The 22,983-nt window shown below is 47.6% G+C and overlaps 1 pseudogene across 1 annotated transcript, besides 9 other annotated features; it reads left to right on the top strand.

The window, feature by feature from the left end:
- Positions 1-1,107: 1,107 nt before the first annotated feature.
- SERPINB9P1 (serpin family B member 9 pseudogene 1) lies at positions 1,108-22,961 on the top strand (annotated as a pseudogene). The gene is made up of 2 exons (NR_033851.1): positions 1,108-1,325; positions 21,928-22,961. The product of NR_033851.1 is annotated as a serpin family B member 9 pseudogene 1 (transcript).
- Positions 1,613-2,554: an enhancer, noted in NCBI's record as "H3K27ac-H3K4me1 hESC enhancer chr6:2875298-2876239 (GRCh37/hg19 assembly coordinates)". NCBI's record gives its function as "activates a minimal SCP1, AML or CMV promoter by ChIP-STARR-seq in naive H9 embryonic stem cells {active_cell/tissue: H9 hESC(naive)}" and the evidence as "EXISTENCE:reporter gene assay evidence [ECO:0000049][PMID:30033119]".
- Positions 2,426-2,475: a silencer, noted in NCBI's record as "silent region_16833". NCBI's record gives its function as "represses an Ori minimal core promoter by ATAC-STARR-seq in GM12878 lymphoblastoid cells {active_cell/tissue: GM12878}" and the evidence as "EXISTENCE:reporter gene assay evidence [ECO:0000049][PMID:35858748]".
- Positions 7,326-7,900: an enhancer, noted in NCBI's record as "H3K27ac-H3K4me1 hESC enhancer chr6:2869952-2870526 (GRCh37/hg19 assembly coordinates)". NCBI's record gives its function as "activates a minimal SCP1, AML or CMV promoter by ChIP-STARR-seq in naive H9 embryonic stem cells {active_cell/tissue: H9 hESC(naive)}" and the evidence as "EXISTENCE:reporter gene assay evidence [ECO:0000049][PMID:30033119]".
- Positions 10,652-10,801: an enhancer, noted in NCBI's record as "active region_23879". NCBI's record gives its function as "activates an Ori minimal core promoter by ATAC-STARR-seq in GM12878 lymphoblastoid cells {active_cell/tissue: GM12878}" and the evidence as "EXISTENCE:reporter gene assay evidence [ECO:0000049][PMID:35858748]".
- Positions 10,822-10,931: an enhancer, noted in NCBI's record as "active region_23878". NCBI's record gives its function as "activates an Ori minimal core promoter by ATAC-STARR-seq in GM12878 lymphoblastoid cells {active_cell/tissue: GM12878}" and the evidence as "EXISTENCE:reporter gene assay evidence [ECO:0000049][PMID:35858748]".
- Positions 14,584-14,913: an enhancer, noted in NCBI's record as "active region_23877". NCBI's record gives its function as "activates an Ori minimal core promoter by ATAC-STARR-seq in GM12878 lymphoblastoid cells {active_cell/tissue: GM12878}" and the evidence as "EXISTENCE:reporter gene assay evidence [ECO:0000049][PMID:35858748]".
- Positions 18,460-19,039: an enhancer, noted in NCBI's record as "active region_23876". NCBI's record gives its function as "activates an Ori minimal core promoter by ATAC-STARR-seq in GM12878 lymphoblastoid cells {active_cell/tissue: GM12878}" and the evidence as "EXISTENCE:reporter gene assay evidence [ECO:0000049][PMID:35858748]".
- Positions 22,225-22,354: an enhancer, noted in NCBI's record as "active region_23875". NCBI's record gives its function as "activates an Ori minimal core promoter by ATAC-STARR-seq in GM12878 lymphoblastoid cells {active_cell/tissue: GM12878}" and the evidence as "EXISTENCE:reporter gene assay evidence [ECO:0000049][PMID:35858748]".
- Positions 22,415-22,474: an enhancer, noted in NCBI's record as "active region_23874". NCBI's record gives its function as "activates an Ori minimal core promoter by ATAC-STARR-seq in GM12878 lymphoblastoid cells {active_cell/tissue: GM12878}" and the evidence as "EXISTENCE:reporter gene assay evidence [ECO:0000049][PMID:35858748]".

The following is a 22,983-nucleotide window of genomic DNA, read 5'->3' as shown; positions in this document are numbered from 1 at the left end:
GTGCGGGAAAGCTGGCACTCACAGGCCTCACCCAGCTCCCATGCAAACTGAAGGGCTGGTCTCACTCCCACTGTGCCCTCCACAATAGCCCTGCATCTGTTTCCAGGTGAAGAGCAAGATGGTTTTGAAAACTTGTCGCAGGCTTTCCACCTCCTAGCTGAGAAAGAAAAGAGCTTTAGTTCTTCCCACGCCTGTGGAGTCTGCACGCTGGATTCGAGCCCCCTCCTGAGTTCTGGCCAGGAGGCTTCTCGCGGGGTTCAAATTGTTACAAAGTTCAGCTACAGAATTCCTTCTCCCTGTGGAGTTTTACCCCCTGCTCCTCAGGCCACCCTCCCAAAGGATCCCTGTGGTGCCAGACAGGAATGGGCTGCTAGGGGACCCAGCAAGCTCCCAGGGCCTTACTGCTGCTTCCTCTCCCCCTGTTTTTCGCTGGGCTCTCCAACTTGACTCTGCTCCAGGTAAAGTCGGAAACTTCTCCGCAAACAGACCTTCAGCTTCTCCAGTGGGAGTGTGTGTTGGGGAGAGGAGGGTCTCCCTTTCCCACTTCCACAGTTGGGGCACTCAGTATTTGGGGTGTCTCCCGGGTCCTGCAGGAGCAGTCTGCTTCCTTCGGAGGGTCTGTGGGCCCTCTCAGGATTGCGGGTTTGTTCTTGCAGTGGATCTGGAGCTAAAATTCACAGTGGGAGCCTCTGCATGCTGCTCTGGTCAGAGTGGCAATCTAGTCCTACCTCCCGTGTGCCATGATCCTGAAATCCTCACAACAGGATGTTAAAGTGAGAATCTTTCTGTTTCAGTTTCGCCACAAACACCCATACAATGGATGTGTCATAACAGAAAGAACAAAGCCAAGGCGATTGACCTGACATTCCAGGGCACAGTCAGCTGTTCATTGAGAAATATGCTGAGAGGCCGAGTCCTGAGTTTTGTAAAGGCTGGGAAAAGGCAGCTTCTAGTGGTTCTGTCAATAAAACATTGAACTCTGGTGCTCTGACTGGGGCAGAACCAAGTTCATTGGTCAGCAGTGTGTCAGGTTGGATGCTGTGGGCGCCTGGCCTCTGAAGGTCACTCGAGGCTCACTGTACAGCTGTCGCTTGCCAGGCAGCCCGAGAGAGTTCTGGCGAGGGCTGCGGGAAGGAAAGGGGGCGGCGTCCTTCACAGGGAGGGTGCAGCTGACCTCCCTCCCCTTGTGCAGACTGGAAAAGAATGGCCCAGATCCTCTGGACTCCTCAGATGAGCGGATTCAGAGAGAAGCTTTTGAGAGCGTGCTGGCGGAGACATTTTTCACAAAAGAGCCCTTGCGGTGCTGGTGTCCGTGGCGTGCCTGGGTGAGAGAGGGCAGCTTTTCCACCAGGCCACCGGGAGTCCTCCCCACCTGTAGCCTAGGCCGGCACCCCCCGGGCTCAGAGCGAGTTGGGGGGGTAAGGGGGGGATGGGGGGGTGGGGGGCCCCCTGCGGCGCCCGCCGCCCACGGTCCCCTGCCCACCCCGGCCGCCCGCCCACGCGCACCCCGCGCCCGCGCTGCCCCGCGGGGGAAACCGAGCGCTGCAGGCGCTTCCTCTTGTGTTTTTCAAACACGAATGCGCCCCAACTGCTCGGAGGCTTCTGGGGAGGCGGCCTGGGGGAGGGAGCGGGTAGCTGGGATCTCCGAAGCGGGACGTCTCCTAGGAGGGGTGCATCCTGGGGCAGCACCCCGCAGCATTGCGGGTGGGGAACGCCTGGAGTTCAGCCAGGTTCGGACAGGGGTGACTTCTATTTATTTATTTATTTATTTGAGCCGCTCTAGTCGCCCAGGCCGGAGTGCAATGGCGGGATCTCGGCTCACTGCAGCCTCTCCCGGGTTCAAGCGATTCTCCTGCCTCAGCCTCCGGAGTAGCTGGGATTGCAGACTCGTGCCACCACGCCCAGCTAATTTTTGTATTTTTGGGAGAGACACGGTTTCGCCATGTTGGCCAGGCTGGTCGCACTCCCGACCTCAGGTGATCCGCCCGCCTCCGCCTCCCAAAGTGCTGGTATTGCAGGCGCGAGCAACCGCGCCTGGCCCGGGTGTGTCTCCTTCCCGAACCTCCGGGCGGCGAACGGGGAAGGGCGAGCGGCTTGGCGGTGGGGACGAGCTCCCCCAGGGTCCTGCGCCGAAGGGAGGCTGGAGGAGGGCCCGAGGACTTGGGGACAGGAGCCGCTGCCCTGGGGCTGCCCTGGCGTCTCCAGCCTGCCTCGCCCGAAGCCTCCTAGCCGGATTAGCGCACCGGCCCGGGGCCTGCCCTGACCCCGGAAGAGCAGAACCCTTAGCTGGAAGGCTTAGGAGGGAGAGGGGGCCAGACCATTGCTTTGGGTTTAGGTCACCTCCGTAGACCATTGCTTTGGGTTTAGGTCACCTCCGCTGCGTGTCTCCCCAGGGATCTCTGGGACCCTAAATGCATTTTGCCTTTGGGGGAGGGCAGGGAAAGACCAATGGGTCTAGGAATACAGTGTGTGCCTAAGATTAGACAATAACGATACAGAGTGTCTAACTGGATGTGAAACTGGGTGTGTAAATACAGGTGAACCAGCGGGGACGGCTCATCGGTGTCCATTGTCTTAGGGGCGTGGCTCGATTCCTGTTTATTGAGCCCAGTCGCCAGAGAGAACCCCCGAGTAGAAGCTGGGAGGGCTGGGATGGGGAGGCCATGAGAGCCACGATGTGATGTCCTGGCATGAGCAGTGACTTTGATACTGAAGATATGTCACCTTGGGGGAAGACTGACTGATGGGCCAGCCTTTCACAAATATGCACCAGTATGGCCTCACTGGCCGTGTTATCACCAACGTTTCTTCTAACTGGCCAGTGCCCAGGATACTTTTACTCTAGGGCTCCCCTCTGTGACCCCCTCCCATCTCCTAGGAGGCACCCTTTCCTGAGTTGGAGCATCCCAAGACACAAGCTGAAGATGACAGCCCAGAGTTGGGTCCCCAGGGGAGAGCCTGTGTCTCTCTGGCCAAAGCCTGGGGAAGCGGAGCCCTCAGCCAGGCATCAGCTCATCAAAGCCATCCAGGAGGACCAGGATGGAGGCCAGGGCTGGGAGGAACACAGGTCCTGGACAGACAAGGATGAGGAGAAATTCTGGGCTTACCTAAGGCAAAGAGAAGAAGGGCCTGGGCATGGAAAGAGGCCCGCTGGGGTTTGCCAGAGACCCTGGTCTGAGAATGCTCTGCCAGGGCATGAGCACACCTCTGCTCTAGAATGTCCCCACCGAGTGGCCTGGAATTCCAGAAATCAAGATCCCCTGGGAGTGTTTTGATGATAGTTGTCATGCTACCTAACGTCTACCTGACATCAGCATGGCTGAGAGGTGGCATAGCAGTTAGGTGTGTGAGTTCTGTAGCCAGAGGGCTTGTGTTTGGCCCTCATTCTGCCACTTACAAATTAAACCTTCTTAGTTAAATGACTACAGCTCCCCACACCTGATTTCCTCATCTGGGAGGATACCCCAAAGGGTTGTATTTAGAATTAGGGTTGTGACATACTGTACTTAGGCAACAGTACACGGACCATAGTAAGGGCTCAACATAAATGTTAGGTTTGTTATTATTATTTTTTATTTTTTTCTTTTCTTTTCTTTTAATTTTTAAAAATTGAGACGGGTCTTACTCTGTCACACCAGGTGGAGTGCAGTGGCACAATCTTGGCTCACTACAGCCTCTGCCTCCCAGGCTCAGGCGATCCTCCCACCTCAGCCTCCCGAGTAGCTGGCACTTCAGGCACGCACCACCATGCCTGGCTAGATTTTTGTATTTTTGGTGGAGACAGGGTTTATCACATTGCCCAGGCTGGTCTCAGACTCCCGAGCTTAAGCGATCCGCTCACCTTGGCCTCCCAAAGTGCTGGGATTATAGGCATGAGCCACTGCGCCTGGCCTAGTTTGTGATTATTGAAAATTAGTTGAATCAGATTGCTGTCTTCTTAATGCACAGTTAATGCTACAGAGAGTGGATTATGAAATTTTCCGGGAAGGTGGTGAAGAAAAGAAGTAGGAGGACGAAGAAAAAAGTAGTTAATTAATGCGTTAGTTAATGCAGGTGTTTGGGGCAGAGGCGATGGTTCTGGAGCATGTGATGAGGTGTCTTTGGACAGCGGAGGCAGCGTAAGGGAAGGTGCTGAGTGCTGGGCAGGGCGGGGAGAAGCATGGCTGCAAGTGAGTGGGGAGAAAAAGGAGCAGCGATTTTGGCTCTAACTGACCTCACTTTTCCTCCCTGACATCAGATGGCCTCTGGAAGCTGTCAGTTGCATTGCTGTCCCCCTGGCAAGCATAGCCTCCTGCCTCCCTGTCACCCAACCTTGTCTAGTGGTCCCTCTGCCCTGCCTGTGAGTGAAGAAGAGAGGAGTCTGCTTCTCAGTCACCCCTTCCTCCCCCGAATTCCCTGGGCTGTACAACAGCCAAGAGCTACTCCTCCTCCCCCAACCCCTCCAACATTCTGCTGGCTCCATCTGAGGAGCTGCTTGTTCTCCTGGAGGATGACAAACTGTCAAACACTCCTCCCCGTGCTCTGTTGCCAGACCCTCCACCATGAGCGCCCTCTCTGAAGCAAATGGCTCCAGCCATCATCTTTTAAAGGAGCCATACGAAGAAAACCCTTCATGCAATGTGCTTTTGTCTGTCCCAAGTGTCTCCTCTGCTCTGGCCATGCTCTTCCTGGGAGTGGAAGGAAATGTGGCTGCCCAAATGGCCCAAGCAAGGAGACCTCCACTGCATAAGGAGGAGGAATTGTTTGTAGCCATTAGAGTTGTTTGCCAGAAATTTCTGGATTTCCTCCCTTCCAGCACATGGTAAGTGATCTGGGTCCATGTGATCTGGGTCCACATTGGTCTGGGTCCATGTCCCCACCCAAATCTCATCTTGAATTGTAATCCAAACTTTAATTCCCACGTGTTAGGGGAGGGACCTCCTGGGAGGTGATTGAATCATAGTGTGGTTCCCCATGCGGTTCTCATGATTGTAAGTTCTCATGAGATGTGATGGTTTTGTGAGGGGCTTTTCCCCTTTTTGCTCTGCACTTCTCTCATTCTCTTCCTGCTGCCATGTGAAGAAGAATGTGTTTGCTTCCCCTTCGGTCATTATTGTAAGTTTCCTGAGGCTTCCCCAGTCATATGAAACTGTGAGTCAATTAAATCTCTTTTCTTTATAAATTACCCAGCATGAGAACAGGTATGTCTTTATTAGCAGCGTAAGAATGGACTAATACAGTAGGATGGTTCTTTTTGGCTCCCTTTTGGGGCTTTGTGACCAGTTCTGGCCAACAAGTTGTGTGTAGAAGTGACACACACTGAAGTATTTAATGGAAAGTTTGAGGTCCTCTAGAATTCTTTTTGTCCCTCTGGCATGACATCAGCAACATACGAGGTGATAGCTACTCTACTTGCTTGGGTCCCCAAGTGTCCCTGCTTATTCATGATGGACTTGTAGCCTGAAGCACAAATGACACCTTGTTATCTGCAACCACTGAGACTTGGGGGATTTTTTGTTACCACAGAGTATCCAGCTTCTCCTGACTGATACAGATTAGATATTTTCTTCCACAGGTTATGGAGCGACTATGCCAGTGCTGCTGGAATAGGAAAGGAAGTGAAAAATGTGTTAGGACTTTGCACACCTGTGATAATTTCTTACATGGCTCATTTTTTTTATATAAACTCAAAGGTTTCATTGCCTTGTGGGAAGGCAGTAGGCTTCGAGTGAGTTGATGAGCTTTTTTTATTTTTTGCTTTATTATTATTTTTTTTCCCAAGATGGAGTCTTGCTCTGTCGCACAGGCTGGATTGCGGTGGCGTGATCTCAGCTCACTGCAACCCCCACCTCCTGGGTTCAAGCAATTCCCCCGCCTCAGCCTCCCAAGTAGCTGGGATTAAAGGCACGCGCCAGCATGCCTGGCTAATTTTTGTATTTGTCGTAGAGATGGGGTTTCACCATGTTGGCCAGGCTGGTCTCGAACTCCCAACCTTGTGATCCACCTGCCTTGGCCTCCCAAAGTGTTGGGATTATAGACGTGAGCCACCGCGCCCAGCCCTATGAGCTTTAAAGTCCACGTACTGCCTCTGATTCACTGTGGAATCTTTCCTAAGCCACGTAACTTCTCAGAGCCTTATAAAAGAGAGAAAATATCAGCTTGGCCTATCACACATGAGGTGTTTGTAATCCAGCAAAATATGCATGTGAAAGTGCTTTATAAACTGTTATATATATATAAACAAATATATATAAAATATATTTGTCTAGTAGCAAGAAAATGTTGGCTGTATCTCTGGAGAATTTTCTAGCTCAAAAAATTTCCGTGATTGCATAAGAGTACGTTCAAGGTAATGAATCCAACTTTTACACTGGAAACTCATATTGTAGATGGAGAAAGTGTGCCTGACCTGAGAAATAATTCTAACTATGGGCAATCATACACTGTAGGTGACAACTTCAGGACTCTGAGGACCTTCTGCCTAATTTGAAAATGATGCAGTTTTGAGAGTCCTCTCTTGGATGCCATCTCTGCTGGGATGCTCCTGTGTCCTGTCTTTTGGAACTGGGGATTCTACTTGACAAACCTTCCTTGTCCCATCAACTTGCTTTCCCTCCCCCAGATGAGCAACTTCCCTGTCCCTCCTTTCCCTTTGCAAATTCCATCCTGTGTGTCATGGAATTGTAGGAAGTCAGAGCTGAATGGATACTAGAGACTACCCAATCCAGGGGTTCTCAACTTTAGCTACATTAAAAAAATCGCTGGGGGAGCTATTAATTCTTTTTAGACCTTGATATTTTCTCTTTTTTCAGTGTACTCATTGCAGTGTTTGCATTTTTGTCTTGCATGTAGTTTTAATAGTCAATATAATTAAATCAATAAAAAGAAAATTATGTATACACATGAGGTCAGTTCTCTTTGGCCTCCCAGATACAGTAGTGAGCATGAATGGGACAATTTTAAAGACTGCTCTTGTATTAAAAAACAAACAAAAATCCCACTGAGAGGTGACAACGTGCTAGCAGCCCTCGCTCGCTCTGGGCACCTCCTCAGGACACGGCATCCACTCTGACCGCGCTTGAGGAACCCTTCAGCCCGCCGCTGCACTGTGTGAGCCACTCTCTGAGGTGGCCAGGCCAGAGCCGGCTCCCTCTTACCGGGAAGTGTGGAGGGAGAGGAGAGGTGTAGAGGGAGAGGCGCAGGTGGGAACCGGGACTGCGCGCCACACTCACAGGCCAGCATGAGTTCCAGGTGGGCGCAGGCGTGGGCGGGCTCAGCAGGCCCTGCACTTAGAGCGACCAGTAAGGGGCTTCGTACCCGGGCCAGCAGCTGCGGAGGGCGTGCTGGGTCCCCCAGCACTGCTGGCCCCCCCAGCACTGCTGGTCCGAGCGCGCCGCGCTAGAATTCTCGTTGGGCCTCCCCACAGGGCAGGGCTCAGGACCTGCAGCCCGCTATGCCCCAGCCCCCCGACCCCGGTGGTGGGCTCCCGCATGCGCCCAAGCCTCCCTGCTGGGCGCCGCCCACTGCTCCGCGGCGCCTGGTAGCATCCACTGCCCAAGGGCTGAGAAGTGCAGGTGCCTGGTGCCGGACTGGCAGGCAGCTCAGCCAAAGCAGCGGAATCCACTAAACAAAACCACCTAGGCTCCTGAGTCCAGTGGGTACTTGGAGAACTTTTATGTCTAGCTAAAGGATTATAAATATACCAGTCAGCACTCTGTGTCTAGCTCAAAGTTTGTAAACACACCAATCAGCAGCCTGTGTCTAGCTCAAGCTTTGTAAACGCACCAATCTGTGCTCTGTGTCTAGCTAATCTAGTGGGGACTTGCAGAACCTTTATGTCTAGCTAAAGGATTGTAAATACACCAATCAGCACTCTGTGTCTAGCTCAAGGTTTGTAAACAGACCAATCAACACTCCGTGTCTAGCTCAAGGTTTGTAAACACACCAATCAGTGCTCTGTATCTAGTTAATCGAGTGAGGACTTGGAGAACTTTTATGTCTAGCTAAAGGATTGTAAATGCACCAATCAGCACTGTGTCTAGCTCAGGGTTGTAAATGCGCCAGTCAGCACCCTGTCAAAACGGACTAATCAGCTTTCTGTAAAATGGACCTATCAGCTCTCTGTAAAATGGACCAATCAGCTCTCTGTAAAATGGACCATTAGCAGGAGGTGGGTGGGGCCAGATAAGGGAATAAAAGCAGGCTGCCTGACCTAGTAGCACAAACTGCTGAGTTTGTTTTCTGTGTTGGGGTTTTTGATTTTTTTTTTTTACGTTCTTCAGGCTAAACTGTGGTGCGTTTTGTTTTTTGATTCTTGGGCTCTGTGTTTTTAGGAGCTGTAATACTTCACATGAAAGTTTGTGGGTTAACTCTTGAAGCTGATGAGGCCATGAACTAGCTAGCAGAAAAAATTGTGCCTATCTGAATGTCAAAAGGAATAAGCTCTGGGTGTCTTTATGTCTTTCTTAAGAACTGTAACGCTCACTGTGAGGTTTTTGTGGCTTTTTTTGCTTAATTTAGGTGTGATCAAGAATCCACAAATTTCAGACATTACTTTCCACTGAAGCTTAATTATTTTAGATCGGAGCCTAAGCATTGGTGTTTAAAACTTTCTCAGGTGGTTTTAGTTACCTTCTGGGGTTGAATCAAATCTGGCTCTAAGTGGTTTTCTGTATGGGCAATATTAGAATTGTTAGGATTCGTGAGACCTCTGAATTTTCAAGCCCCATCTGAGACTTCAGGAATTTTGAGAATGGGCATTTCCGGGTGAGTGATTCTGATGCATGCACTTACCTAGCCCAACCCCTCATGTCACGGGTGGTAACAAAGCTGAGAGCCTAACTTGTTACTTCTAATTCCAGCCGAGGTGGAGTAACAAGTATCAAGAGTTATCCTCCCATTGTTATTAACCGTAAACTGGACAATGTATACGAAACAACTGGTGGGTTGGTTTGGATCTTGTGGAAGCTTGGTTTTTATTAGATAATAGTTTAGAATAATCTTCTAGGGCTATACTAGCCCTAGTCCTGAGGCCTGAGATCTCTGGACTCTCAACTACATGCTGAAATGTCTAGCATATTTTAAAAAGTTATTAAACCTACGTAGTGTAAGTATGACCCATAACCAGGAAAAAGTCAATAAAAACACACGAAAGTGAGACAAATGTTAAAATTAACAAAGACTGCAATGCAACTCTTAGAAATATGTTAAAGGATTTAAGGAGTAGATGGCATAGCGAGTGAACAGATAGAAAACCTCAACAGAAAAATAGAAACTTAAAAATTACTGGGAGGCTGAGGTAGGAGAATGGCGTGAACCCAGGACGCGGAGCTTGCAGTAAGCCGAGGTTGCGCAACTGCATTGCAGCCTGGGCGACAGAGCGAGACTCCATCTCAAAAAAAAAAATTCTGAAACATTTAAAATGAAACATTTGGCAGATGAACTTAATATTGGATTGGACATTTTAAAAAATCAGTGAATTATATACATTACTTTTTACCCCTAAATACGTTTTTATATACCCCTAAATGTGCATTTTTTATTTTTTAAAAGGGCATTTTCCTATGTAACCGTAATACCTCATACTTATTAAAATGAACAATTAGTTTGTCATACTGAATCCATATTCAAATTTTCCAGCGGTCTTGGAGATACTTTTATAGCTTGTTTATTTGAGCAAGAATCCATTCAAGGGTTATGCATCAAATTTCATTGTGATGTTGCTTAAAATTCTTTTAATCCAGAACACCACCTCAGCATTGTGTCTCCTTCATTTTCTGACACATTGATTTAAGAGCTCATTCTTGTACAATATCCCACGAACAAGGTTGCCAGTGGTATTCATTTTAGTCGATTTCAGCCAGAATAGGGTTGGGAGAAGAAAAGATGCATGAAATAAAGTATTTCTGGATCTTCATGTTTTTAGCTGCTAAATCAGAGCTCTCGTGCCTATGCATATTTCATGCAACAGAAAATCGCCTGGGCTTTGTTAAATGTCAATACATCTCTCTGGCATCATTTATAATGGCTACCTTGTGATCCATTAGGTAACTTAACCATAATGTATTATTCAATCATGTAAAAACAGACATTCCAGCTATTTATATTTTTACCATTACAGATATCACTTTGATAATTTGATGGGAGGAAAATTGCACGTCATTATTTAAATTTTCATTTATTAGTCACCCATACTTCTTTTAGAATTAGCCTATTTTTATTTGCCTACTTTTGTCCTTGGGATATTCATTTTTTTGTCTTGCAGTTTTTAAGCACTCTCTACCAATAGATTTTTCTTAATGTTATATACATATCGCAAGATAATTCCCGTGCTTTTAATTTACATATTAGTGTTATTAATATTTTAAGTAAAGAACTTTTTTTATTTAAATAGTCCACTTTAGTATTTTTTTTGTTTTCTTCCTCCAGAGTCTTGCATAGAAAGTCTTCTTGACACTCAGATTATATAAATATTCACTTGTCTTTTTCCTTAGAGCTTTTATAATTTTGTGTTTTTGCATTAACTCATTTGGAACTTGTTTTAGACTAACATGAGAAGTTTAATTTTTAAGGTAATAAGTTTTATTGTGTGTATTAAAAACACTGAGGCTGGGCATGGTAGCTTACACCCGCAATCCCAGCACTTTGGGAGGCCAAGGCAGGAAGATGGCTTGAGCCCAGGAGTTCAAGACCAATCTAGGCAAGTAAGACCAGTAAGTCAAGCCTAATGAAGCCATGAGTGATAAGAAAAAGGCATTATGAACTTAGCAACACTACCAGTAAGTGGGAGTAAAGACCTTTAAGAGGTTTTTTTCCTCACACCAATCAGTTCTTTGACACCAACTGGGTGTCCAACAATTCAATTCAATTCTGACAGTACTTAACGTCCAGTTAGAGGGCTCAGCCCCCAAGACTACCCCCTCTTCAGACACCTGTCACAAATGGGGTGCCCAGGCTCTTCACACTGCTGCCCGGCCAAGTACAAATTTGGGGATTCCCATAACCTCCCTCAGGCTTAATAATTTACTAGAATGACTCACAGAACTCAAGAAAGCACTTTATTATTATCACCAGTTTATTATAAAGGCAGAAACAACCAGTGGAAGAGATGCAGAGAGCAAGTTAAGGGGGGTCGGGGGTGCGTGCAGAGAGCTTCCATTCCCTCTCTAGACACTCCACCCTCTCAGCACCTGTCTGTTCATTAACCCACATGCTCCCTCAACCTGGTCTTTTTGATTTTTATGGAGGTTCCATTACATAGGTGTTATTGATTAATTCACTGGCCATTGGTGGCTGAACTCAATTCCCAGCCCTTCTTCCCTCCCCAGGGGATCACCAAGAGCCGCCTCATCAGCATAAGCTCAGGTGTAGCTAAAGCGGCTCATTTTGAATAGCAAAACACACTCGCATTACTCAGGAAATTCCAAGGGTTTTAGGAGCTCTGTGCCGGGAACTGGGGATAAACACCAGATATATTTTTTATTATATCACGAACCTAAATGAAAGTAACCTCTTAGGAAGCTTGAAAAGGGATGAAAATAGCTAGTTAGGAGTTGTCGACTGACAGGAAGAAGCTGAGGCAAAATTAATATGAGAGTTTATTTGGGTCAGGGTTGAGAACAGCTGCTTGGGAAACACTTCCAAGTTGTCTTGGGAAGTGCCCAGAGAACAAAGGATGAATCAGGAGAGGAGGCAATTACCAACATTGTTGGTTAAGAATTCTCATTGGTTTACAGAAATAACATTGATTAGTGATTGGCTATAGTTGAACTATAGGGTATAAGTTATGTTGTCCAGCATATGCCGTCGTTAGGTTAATTTATAGCTATTGGTGGTGGCATTGGGTCAAGAGTCCACATAGCAGGCAGATTACATACATACATAGCTCAAGCAGTGAGTGAGATGTGACTACTGTCACATTTCAATGCCTGTCTGGACCTGATGACTTAAAGGGGTTCATATTCCTCAGATAAAAAGTTTCCTTTCTGGCCCGGACTGGTGGCTCACACCTGTAATCCCAGAAATTTGGGAAGCCAATGTGGGAGGATCACTTGAGGCCAGGAGTTTGAGACCATCCTGGGCAACCTAGTGAGACCTTGTCTCTACAAAAAATAAATAAAATTAGCCGGGCGTGATGGCACACGCCTGTAATCCCAGCTACTCAGGAGGCTGAAGTAGGAGGTTTGCTTGAGCCCAGGAGGTCGAGGCTGCAGTCAACTGAGGTTACACCACTGCACTGCATCCTGGGTGACAGAGTGAGATCCTGAGAAAGAAAGAGAAGCAGAGAGGAGGGGAGTGCAGGGGAGGGGAGGGGAAGGGAAGCGGGGAGGGAGGGAGGAAGGAGGGAGAGCGAGTGGAAGGGAGGGAGGGAAAGAAAGATTCCTTTCTTCTTCAGAGACAAATGCTCAGTGAGTTCTATCCTACGTGTTGCAAGGTGAAGGGAGGGGGGTCACAAAATCACGACAGAATCCCATCTTCAAGGAGCTTAAAATCTGGTCATGGAATACAATGGACAAATGGGCCGATTATTTTACGACTGACCCTCCCCACAACAGGCTGCCCCGTCTCCATTTGGTTATGCCTGGTCCGTTGCTGCTGTTGCCCTCTCTTCTCAACACTCTGGGATTGTTGGTAGCTGACTCTCTCATCAGGACAATTTTTAGGGTTTTCATTTCTCAGAAAAGTTGTTGACTATGGAGAAACAAGAAAGATTGTGGCAATGAATACAATTCTCATTCCTATGAAGGCATAAGAAGGATGGGTCTTTCCCCCAAAACTTTAAAGAATCTTGCCAGAAATTGTATCAGGCCAAGCCAGAGGGGCCGTCCTTTGCAGAGGCTGCAGCGGTGTCCCTGCAACACACACAATTGCTTAGGTGGTGAAAGCGACAGAGGGTGGGGTCTTTAATTTTTATGTTTTCTGTTGTTAACAGCATTGTACTTTATAAAGGACAGAAATTTATTTCCACAACTATTTCTACTACATATAAATTGGTATGTGGTAGATAAGAAAATTATTAGGTAAGGAAAAGCAATCAATTTTTAATTATTCTGGGAGACAAAAAACAAAAAACTTTAGAACAATAGTCATCAGCAAATGATTTCTTTTCTTTTTTTTTTTTTTTTTTTTTTTTGAGACAGAGTGGGCTCACTGCAACCTCCGGCTTCTGGGATCAAGCAATTCTCCTGCCTCAGCCTCCCGAGTAACTGGGATTACAGTCATGCACCACCACGCCCAGTTAATTTTTTTGTGTATTTTTAGTAGAGACGGGGTTTCACCATGTTGGCCAGGCTGGTCTCAAACTCCTGTCCTCAAGTGATTCACCCGCCTCGGCCTCCCAAAGTGTTGGGATTACAGGTGTGAGCCACTGCACCCAGCCCAAACATTTCTTTAGTTATCTCTTACTAAATGATGGAGGAGGCATATGCCTTACATAGCTCAGGGCATGGCGGCCAAAGAATCCACTGGTATTTGGAGCAGTTTCTTCCAGTTCAGCTTAGTTTAACAAACATGTAGGAATGTTGACTTTGGCCCAGGCCCTGGGGATATAAAGATGAAAAGGTAATTCTGCCCTGTAAACTCTTTGGGCAACTGGGAGTGATCCTGTATTCAGTGTGTCAAGTCCACCTCCCCTTGGGGAGCCTTAAGAAGCCTCAGCCTGGGGGGATCATGTATGGCCTTCCTCCTAGGAGATGTGTTTGGATGATTAAATCCACGAGTGTATCTCAGTCCTTGGTGCAATGCCTGGGGCCGGATAGGTCCAGCGAGGTTGGATGTCGGCATGTAATCCCAGATACCCCACCTTCCACAGCTGTGCATCAGTGTTTCAAAGGAAAGTGATCTACACAGTTTTATTAAATAAACAACAGCAGCAACTTGTGTGTGGGGTAGGGAGTCTTAAAATCAGCAAGGTAAGGATAGAACGATGTCTCCATGTCTATCTGTGCAGAAACTGTCTTGAAACACTAGGACACTGTCATGGGCTGGATTGGGTTGTTCTTCACTCCCCTCAATTCATATGTTAAATTCCTAACCTCCAGTATCTTGGAATGTGACTGTATTTGGAGACAGGGTTTTTACAGGGGTAATTAAGGCAAAATGAGGTCATTAGGTCACCCAATATGACTGGCGTCCTTATAAAAGGGTTAATTTGGACACGGACACATACAGAGGGAAAACACTAAAGAGCTATAGAGAGAGGAGGGCCATCTGCAAGTTAAGGAGGGAGGCCTGGAACATATTCTCCCTCTGAGTCCCAAGAAGGAACCCACCTTACTGACACCTTGATCTTAGACTTTCAGCCCTCAGAAATGAGACAATAAATACCTTTCTGTTGTTTAAGCTGCCCAGCCTAAAGTACTTTGTTATGTATGGCAGCCCTAGACAGTTAATACAAATATTAATATCAACAATTCGTCACAATGATTCCTTTTGGGTTTTTAAATGCAAATGAGTGCCTAAACACCAGAGATGATTTTCTCTTTAGCTGAATCATGTGAGTATTCTGAGTCAAGTTTATATTTTTAATAAGTTAAAACATTTTGCCTTCCCCTTTCCGTCATCTGGTTGTGGTCATCTGATTTGAATAACATCTGCTTTCTTTTAGAATGAGAACAAAGCCGTTACACTCATATATAAAATACCTTCTCACCACCTGTTTTGGGGGATTAATGGTAGTTTAAAAATTAAGTGCAACTCAAGTTGTGGCCAAGCAAGGCCGACTGACTTCCTGAGATGTTAGGATCCTGTTCTTGGGGCCACCTCATTTGTTTGCATGGCTCCAGGGGACACCTTTCACATTGGGTATGACTGGAGCATCATCCTTGAAGGTGGGTGACTCTGCAGCCCTGCCTACCCTCTGGTGACATCTGAAGTGTTGTTGACATCAGCTTTAATTCAGAGGAACTCTACACAAATGTCTTGGGTACTCCTGTGTGCTGAATACTGTGGGAAGACCATTCTTCAAGGACTTTATGATCCACTCCAAAGGTGGAAAGGCAAGCCCACCTTCAATATGACATAGAACATGGTAACAAAATAGATGTGTAAAGCACTTTTGCTACTTAGAAACACTTTAGATCCATTTGACTATTTGATTTTTTCTAGCTTTCTTGAGGTATAGTTGACAAACAAAAATTGTATACATTTGCAATGTACAATGTGATGTTTTGATATATGTCTTAGTCCATTTTGTGCTGCTATAACAGAATACCACAGACTAGGTAATTTATAAAGAACAGAAATTTATTTCCTCACAGTTCTGGAGGCAGGGAATCCAAGATTGAGGGTCTGGCATCTGGTGAAGGCCTTCTTGCTGCCTCGTCCCATGGTGGAAGGTGGAAGGCAAGAGAGGATGAGAGACAAAAGAAGGCCCAAATTGTCCTTTTATAAGGAATCCACTCCCCAGATAAATGCATTAATCCATTCATATGGGCAGAGCCCTCATGATCTGATCACCTCTTAAAGGTCTCACCTCTTAATACTGTTACAGTGGTAATTAAATTTCAACATGAGTTTGGGAGGGAACAAACATTTAAACCATAAATACAGATACATTGTGAAATGATCACCATAGTCAAGCAAATTAACATATCCTCCACATTTACTTATCATTTGTGTATGTGATGAGAACATTCAGGATCTACTCTTAGCACATCTCAAGCATACATTCTCATGAACTTTCATAGCCATGCTGTACCTTAGATTTCCAAAATGTGTTAACTTTGAGTACCTTAAACTTTTTGAGGTAGTCTGTCACGCAGGCTGAAATGCAGTGGTGTGATCTCAGCTCACTGCTACCTCCCCCACCTGTGTTCAACTTATCTTTCCACTTCAGCCACTCAAAGTACTGAGATTACAGGTGTGAGCCAGAATGCTCAACCCATAATTCAAACTTTATACCCTTTTGTGACCGGGAATTGGTGGGGTTTTGGTCTCACTGACTTCAAGAACAAAACCGCAGACCCTCATGATGTGTTATAGCACTTAAGGTGGCACATCTGGAGTCTGTCCTTTATTGATGTTCAGATGTATTTGGAGTTTTTTTTTTCTGGTGGGTTCACGGTCTTGCTGGCTCAGGAGGCAAGCTGCAGACCTTCGTAGTGAATGTTACAGTTCTTAAGGCAACGCATCTGGAGTTGTTAATTCACTCCTGGTGGCCTCATGGTTTCACTGTGCTTAGGAGTGAAGTTGCAGATCTTCACCGTGACTGTTACAGCTCACAAAAGCAGTGTAGACCCAAAACGAGCAACAGTAAGATTTATTGCAAAGCGAGAGAAAAGAGGAAGGGAGGGGGAGGAAGGGAGAGGAAAGAGAGAAGAAGAGAAGGAGAAGGGGGAAGAAAAGAAAAGAAAAGAAAAGAGAAAGAAGAAGAAGAAGAAGAAGAAGAAAAAGCTGCCACAGTCTGGAAGGAGATCTGAGCAGGTTGTCAATGCTGGCTCGGGCAGCCTGCTTTCATTCTCTTATCTGGCCCCACCCACATCCTGCTGATTGGTAGAGCCTAGTGGCCTGTTTTGTCAGGGCGCTGATTGGTGCGTTTACAATCCCTGAGCTAGATACAAAGGTTCTCCACGTCCCCATCAGATTAGTTAGATACAGAGTTTGGACACACAGGTTCTCCAAGGCCCCACCAGAGCAGCTAGATACAGAGTGTCAATTGGTGCATTCACAAACCTTGAGTTAAACACAGGGTGCTAATTGGTGTGTTTACAAACCTTGAGCTAGATACAGAGTGCCGACTGGTGTATTTACAATCCCTGAGCTAGACATAAAGGTTCTCCACATCCCCACCAGAGCAGCTAGATACAGAGTGTTGATTGGTGCATTCACAAACCTTGAGCTAAACACAGGGTGCTGATTGGTGTATTTACAATCCCTGAGCTAGACATAAAGGTTCTCCAAGGCCCCACCAGAGCAGCTAGATGCAGAGTGTCGATTGGTGCACTCACAAACCTTGAGCTAGACACAGGGTGCTGATTGGTGTGTTTACAATCCCTGAGCTAGATATAAAGACTCTCCACATCCCCACCAGACTCAGGAGCCCAGTTGGCTTCACCCAGTGGACCCCACACTGGGGGTGCAGGTGGAGCTGCCTGCCAGTCCCGCACCGTGCGCTCGCATTCCTCAGCCCTTGGGTGGTCGATGGGACTGGGCGCTGTGGAGCAGGGGGTGGTGCTTGTCGGGGAGGCTCGGGCCGTACAGGAGCCCATGGAGTGGGTGGGAGGCTCAGGCATGGCGGGCTGCAGGTCCCGAGCCCTGCCCCGCGGGAAGGCAGCTAAGGCCCGGCGAGAAATCGAGCGCAGCGCCGGTGGGCTGGCACTGCTGCGGGACCCAGTACACCCTCCGCAGCCGCTGGCCCGGGTGCTAAGTCCCCCATTGCCCGGGGCCAGCAGGGCCGGCTGCTCCGAGTGCGCGGCCCGCCAAGCCCACGTCCACCCGGAACTCCAGCTGGCCAGCAAGCGCTGCACGCAGCCCCGGTTCCCGCTCGTGCCTCTCCCTCCACACCTCCCTGCAAGCTGAGGGAGTGGGCTCCAGCCTTGGCCAGCCCAGAAAGGGGCTCCCACAGTGCAGTGGGGGGGCCGAAGGGCTCCTCAAATGCCACCAAAGTGGGATCCCAGGCAGAGGAGGTGCCGAGAGCAAGAGAGGGCTCTGAGAACTGCCAGCACGCTGTCACCTCCCACTTTGACCAACGTCTCCCCATTCCCGTGTTCCCCAGCCCCAGGCAAGCCGCTTTCTACTCTCTGCTTTCATGAGTTCTAGTTTAGATTCCAGATATCAATGAAATCATTCAGTATTTGTCTTTCTGTGCCTGGGCCTGGTTTATTTCACTTAGCATAATGTTTTCTAAGTTCATCCATGTCGAAAATGACAATTTTTTTTTAAGATTGGATAATATTCCACCAGATATATGTATACCACACTTTCTGTAGCCATTCATTCATGGACAGACACTTGGCTTGTTTTCATATCTTGGCCATTGTGAATAGTGCTCCAATGAACATGGGAGTGTAGATACCACTTCAAGGTAAGGATTTCATTTCCTTTGGAGATATACCCAGTAGTGAAATTGCTGGATCATACGGTAATTCTATTTTTAATTTTTTGCGGGACTTCCATACTGTTTCCCTGAATGCTTGTACTAATTTAAATTCCCAGCAACAGTGTGCAGGTGTTCCCTTCCTCCACATCTGGACCAGCCCTTGTTATCTTACTTGTTTTTTTTTAAATTTATTTATCATGTTATTTGATTTTTAGAACAACTCTAAGCCATGGACAAAGCGGAAGCCATTACCTTCCTTTCACAAATGAGGAATGGAGGACAAAGGTTTAGAAACCTTTGTCCACTAGACACTTGACACTAGACACTTGTCTAAGATCACACAGATAGGAGACTTAAATTTAGATGTTTGATGACGCAGAGATACAGACAACAGGAAGAGGATGGAGGTTAAACCCAAAAGCTCAAGCAAAGGGCTGCTGAGCTGAGCATCTGTGAGGCTGTACTACACTGAAGGGCCTGCATGAGCGACGGTGTGGAGGGAGAAGACCCATAAGACAGTTACCAGAGGGACCAGCCCAGACAGAGAAGGGGCAGGGGACAGAGCCATTCAGCTGGAGCCATACTGAAGAGGAGTTGGAACTTTTTCCAGGGCCATCATTTATGATCAGTGGAGTCACATGATCTCCTTGGAGGCTGGGACACTGCTTAATCCTTTCTCATCTCCCCAGAACCTAACCTGATATTTGGCACTGTAATAGAAAGTGCACAACAAATGTTTATTGTCCAAACCAGCGGGGATCTCTGGCTCCGAGGATGATCTGGCAGCAGAAGGAGGCTGGTTTGGGTGTGGGGAAGAGGTAGGGTGGGTCAAACAGAGGTGGGGCCATGAGAAAGGGGCATTCACTCAGAGAACCACTGTCAGCTGGAGAAAAACAAAATGAAACCAAACTATTTTTCCCAGGCCTTGAGGCAGAACTTTCTTTTTCTAGAAGCCAGATGAAAGAAAGAAGAGACCAGGCATGGTGGCTTATGCCTGTAATCCCAGCACTTTGGGAGGCTGGGGTGGGCAGATCACAAGGTCAAGAGATCAAGACCAGCCTGACCAATATGGTGAAACCCCATCTCTACTAACATTACAAAAATTAGCCAGGCATGGTTGCGTGTGCCTGTAATCCCAGCTACTCGGGAGGCTGAGGCAGGAGAATTGCTTGAACCCGGGAGGCAGAGGTCGCAGTGAGCCCAGATCCCGCCACTGCACTCCAGGCTGGGAAACAAAGCAAGCCTCTGGCTCAAAAAAAAAAAAAAAAAAAGTACAGGAAGCAGAGAGGGGGTGAGAGGAAGGGAGAAACAGGGTGGAAGGGGGAGGGGGAGGGAGAGGGGGAGACAGGAAGAGGAGCAAAGATAGCAATTCTTAAGGCCTGTTATCTATTAGTTACCCTTGCCTTGGCGGCAGACACAGCTGAGTCCTAACGCAGACTTTTCCATATCCCCTCTCCCGCCTCAACAGTGATCTCTCCTCCCACTTCGAGAGTTAATTCAGTGCTGCTTTAGCTTTACGCCCCCATGAAAACAGGAAAACGGTTTGCAGCTTTATCATAACCTTGCTTATGTCTGTTGTTGTATGTCTCAAATACCCTGTCCTCAGGAAGGCCCACCAACGCTGGCCGGCCTCCAAGCACCCGGGCCTCTGCTCATGTACAGCTCCTGAACTGCCCTGCCTCTGAGTTACTGTAAGTCCCCGCCCACTCGAGAGCACACGACCAGTCTCACCCCCAATTTTAAAATGGCAGCCCCCTTGCCTTTATTTATAGACAGGTGCTTTCCAATCCTTAAGTGATTTTTTAGTGAACAGGTCATAAAGTTTCCTGTCATGGCATGAGGTGGAGGGGACAGCCCTCAGAGAGGGGTGTGGGGACCGTGGCTGGCGGTCACATCACACCGGCCTCTCCCGCCTGCAGCCTTGCCCTTTGCAGATGACTCAGGTGGGGAAAGCTCAGAAGGAAAGCCACCAAGTCCGGATGCCCCACCCCACACGCAGAATCTAGCTTCTCAGGGAAAGCAAGAAGGGGATGCTTCAGGGGACTTTGCTGAGGCCAACCTTTGGCATCTTTTTTGAAAAGACATTTGTGTCCGTTTGCTCATTTTTTTCATGATCAAGGAGGGTCCTCCCAGGCTGCCCTTGGCGGACCCCTTTCCTTGTACCCCGTCCACCTTGTCCTCTGGCTTCCAGCGGGTCCACTCCTCTTTCCTGCTTCCTAAACCTCGCCCAGAGCCTGCGACCCTCTCACCCTGGCCCAAACTCCCAGACACAGATTTGCAGCAGCGCAGCCAATGATGTTTTCTTTATGTGACTTCCTGGGACACTGCTTAGTGCCTCCTCCCATGTCTTCCTTGGGCTGCAGCATCTCTCAGGGCTCACAGAGGCCCCTCTAACTCCAAGGGGACTTCTTGGTCTGTTTCACAGGCCAGGAGACGGTGTTCGGATACATCCCCGCTGTATGTTTCATCCATGGCAGTCTGGCCTTCCCATGAAGAGCCTCTGTGTGAGCAAATTGAAAATAGGGCTTCTTGCCCCAACCTTCCATGGAAATGGCTATGGTTTCAGTCTCCATAAAGGTTACTTGCTCTTTTTCTGAAAATCCAAAAGGACAGTGTTAACTCTTTGTACAAATTGCACTGGCCATTTGGTCTTAGCGCAAACTTTTTGGACCATGTTTCATTTTCGTTTTGAGGTGAAAGAAAATATCAAAGCCTCCTAGCATTTTGAAACTCCTCAAATATCAAGTGCAAAACTGCTGATGGGATCAAAGATGCCGGCTAAATTCTTGGCCAATAAGATAAGACTCTTTCCTGTCAACTGACAAGCAATACATGAATATGTGCAGGGTAGCTGATAATCTATGAAATTATCGGCTGGGTACAGTGGCTCACGCCTGTAATCTCAGCACTTTGGGAGGCCAAGGTGGGTGGATCACCTTAGGTCAGGAGTTCGAGACCAGCCTGGCCAACATGCTGAAACCCTGTCTCTACTAGAAATACAAAAATTAGCCAGGCATGGTGGCAGGCACCTGTAGTCCCAGATACTTGGGGAGGCTGAGGCAGGAGAATGGCTTGAACTCGGGAGGTGGAGCTTGCAGTGAGCCAAGATCGTGCCACTGCACTCCAGCCTGGGCAACAGGGTGAGACTCCATCTAAAAAAAAAAGAAAAAAAAGAAATTACCACCAATTACTAACTAGTAACTAATAAGTTACTTGAAATGAACTTGATCCTTGTCTTAAACCAGTGGTGGGGTACAGGAAACTTGAAGATTCTTGAGCTGCAGCCCTGTTTTGATTTGTAGTTTTTGTTGCAATATACACCTCTCTACTAGGCACAGGTGACACATGGGAGCTTGTGTCGACATGTGGGAGCCCTGTACAGGGTCCAGACCTTGAGGTGCCAGGCAGCAGAGCCTGTGGCTGGGAATGGGGGTGCGTGGGGCTTATCTTGGGCCTCACATAGGGCCTCAAAGTTAAAATGTTGAAATTATTTCCTAGTAATCTTACTATACTTAGAGTCACAGAGACAGATACACTGAAAAGACGGACAGAAATTACTTTAATGATAAAAGTTAAGCTCATGTTCCATGAAAGAAATGCCATAAGAATGTTTTCTAAATCCTATGCTTAACTTCGGAATAGCGCAATTAGATTGCATTGCATTTTTGAAAGATCACTTGTTAAATACAAAATTTTAAAACATACCACAATATTTGGCACTTCATTTTCTTTATTAAACAAGGAGACTCAGAAAATCATAGTGGCCTGGGCCCATGTGAACCTCTGTGAAAGCCTCCCACAGGGAGAGAGGACTGGGATGCCATGGTCCTAGGTGGGAATGGGGGGAGCAGTGTAGGCCTCGGTGCGGACCCAATGCTGGGGCCCTAAGGCTCTCTCCTCTTTTCTTCCAGGTGGAAAATGAGCTTATATATGAAGAAGTCAGCGAGTGGACAAAGCCAGGCGCAATGGATAGCAAAGATGTGGAAGTCTCCTCGATTCAAGTTACAAGAAAACCGCAGCATGGAGTCTGCTCTCAGCTGTTGGGGAATTACCGATGCCTTTGACTAAGTCAAGACTGACTTTTCCAGAATATCACCCAAGAGATAGAGCCGTCCCTGTCCAAGTTTGTGCGCTAGCCCTTCATGGAGGTCAGAGAGGAAGAAACAAAGGCAGCTGTGGCCTCGGCGGTCACAGTGTCAGAACGCACAAGCCCCATAAAGAGGTTTCACGCAGGCCACCCATCCCTTTTCATTCTCCAGCAGAACAGGACAGAGAGCGTTCTGTTCTGCGGAAGGTCTTCCACTCTACAAGGCAATCCCTCCAGCTGCTTTGCTGTATTGTGCTGTCTCCTGTCACACTATGAATGCAGTGACCTCAGCCAGCAACAGGGAGAACCCCCCTGCCTCCCGAACAAAGGACCTCACGTGAAATCCTGAGCTCAGAGCTTACAGATATGTGTGCGCTTTCACTTTACATCGGCCGTGACTTCCAAACAACTTCAGGAAACTTTAGGATCTCTGAGGTATACTGGAGATGACAGCAGCGTAGAATGTTCATTTGGATTTAGAACAGAAATGCTTATTTTATATTTGGCTGCTCCCAAACTGTCCCCAGACTTCCTCTCCAGTGGTTACCCTCCACTGCCCTGGATGTCCCACGTTTACACTCCACACTCACACCTCCACCTTAACAAAGTCCTCCACTGGGTCAAACCATACATCGCTTCGTCTCTGTAGTGATGACTTCCTGTCCTCTGCTCTGTGGATAAAGACCCCAGATAAAGATGCCTGTGTTGCTCAACTCTTGTAAATACTCTTGAGACATTTTGAAAGCAGAAGGAAAGGAGACAGACGGGGAAAATAAAAGGGATGGTCTGCTTGTGCGGAAACGTTTTGAGAATGCCCTTCCCTAAGAGAGAACAGTAAAAGTGAGCAATACTTCCTGAGCTGTGGGTTCATATGGCTGGA

This window comes from Homo sapiens, chromosome 6, assembly GCF_000001405.40.
Source record: "Homo sapiens chromosome 6, GRCh38.p14 Primary Assembly".
Lineage (NCBI taxonomy): Eukaryota > Metazoa > Chordata > Mammalia > Primates > Hominidae > Homo > Homo sapiens.
This window is presented reverse-complemented; position numbering and strand designations above follow the sequence as displayed.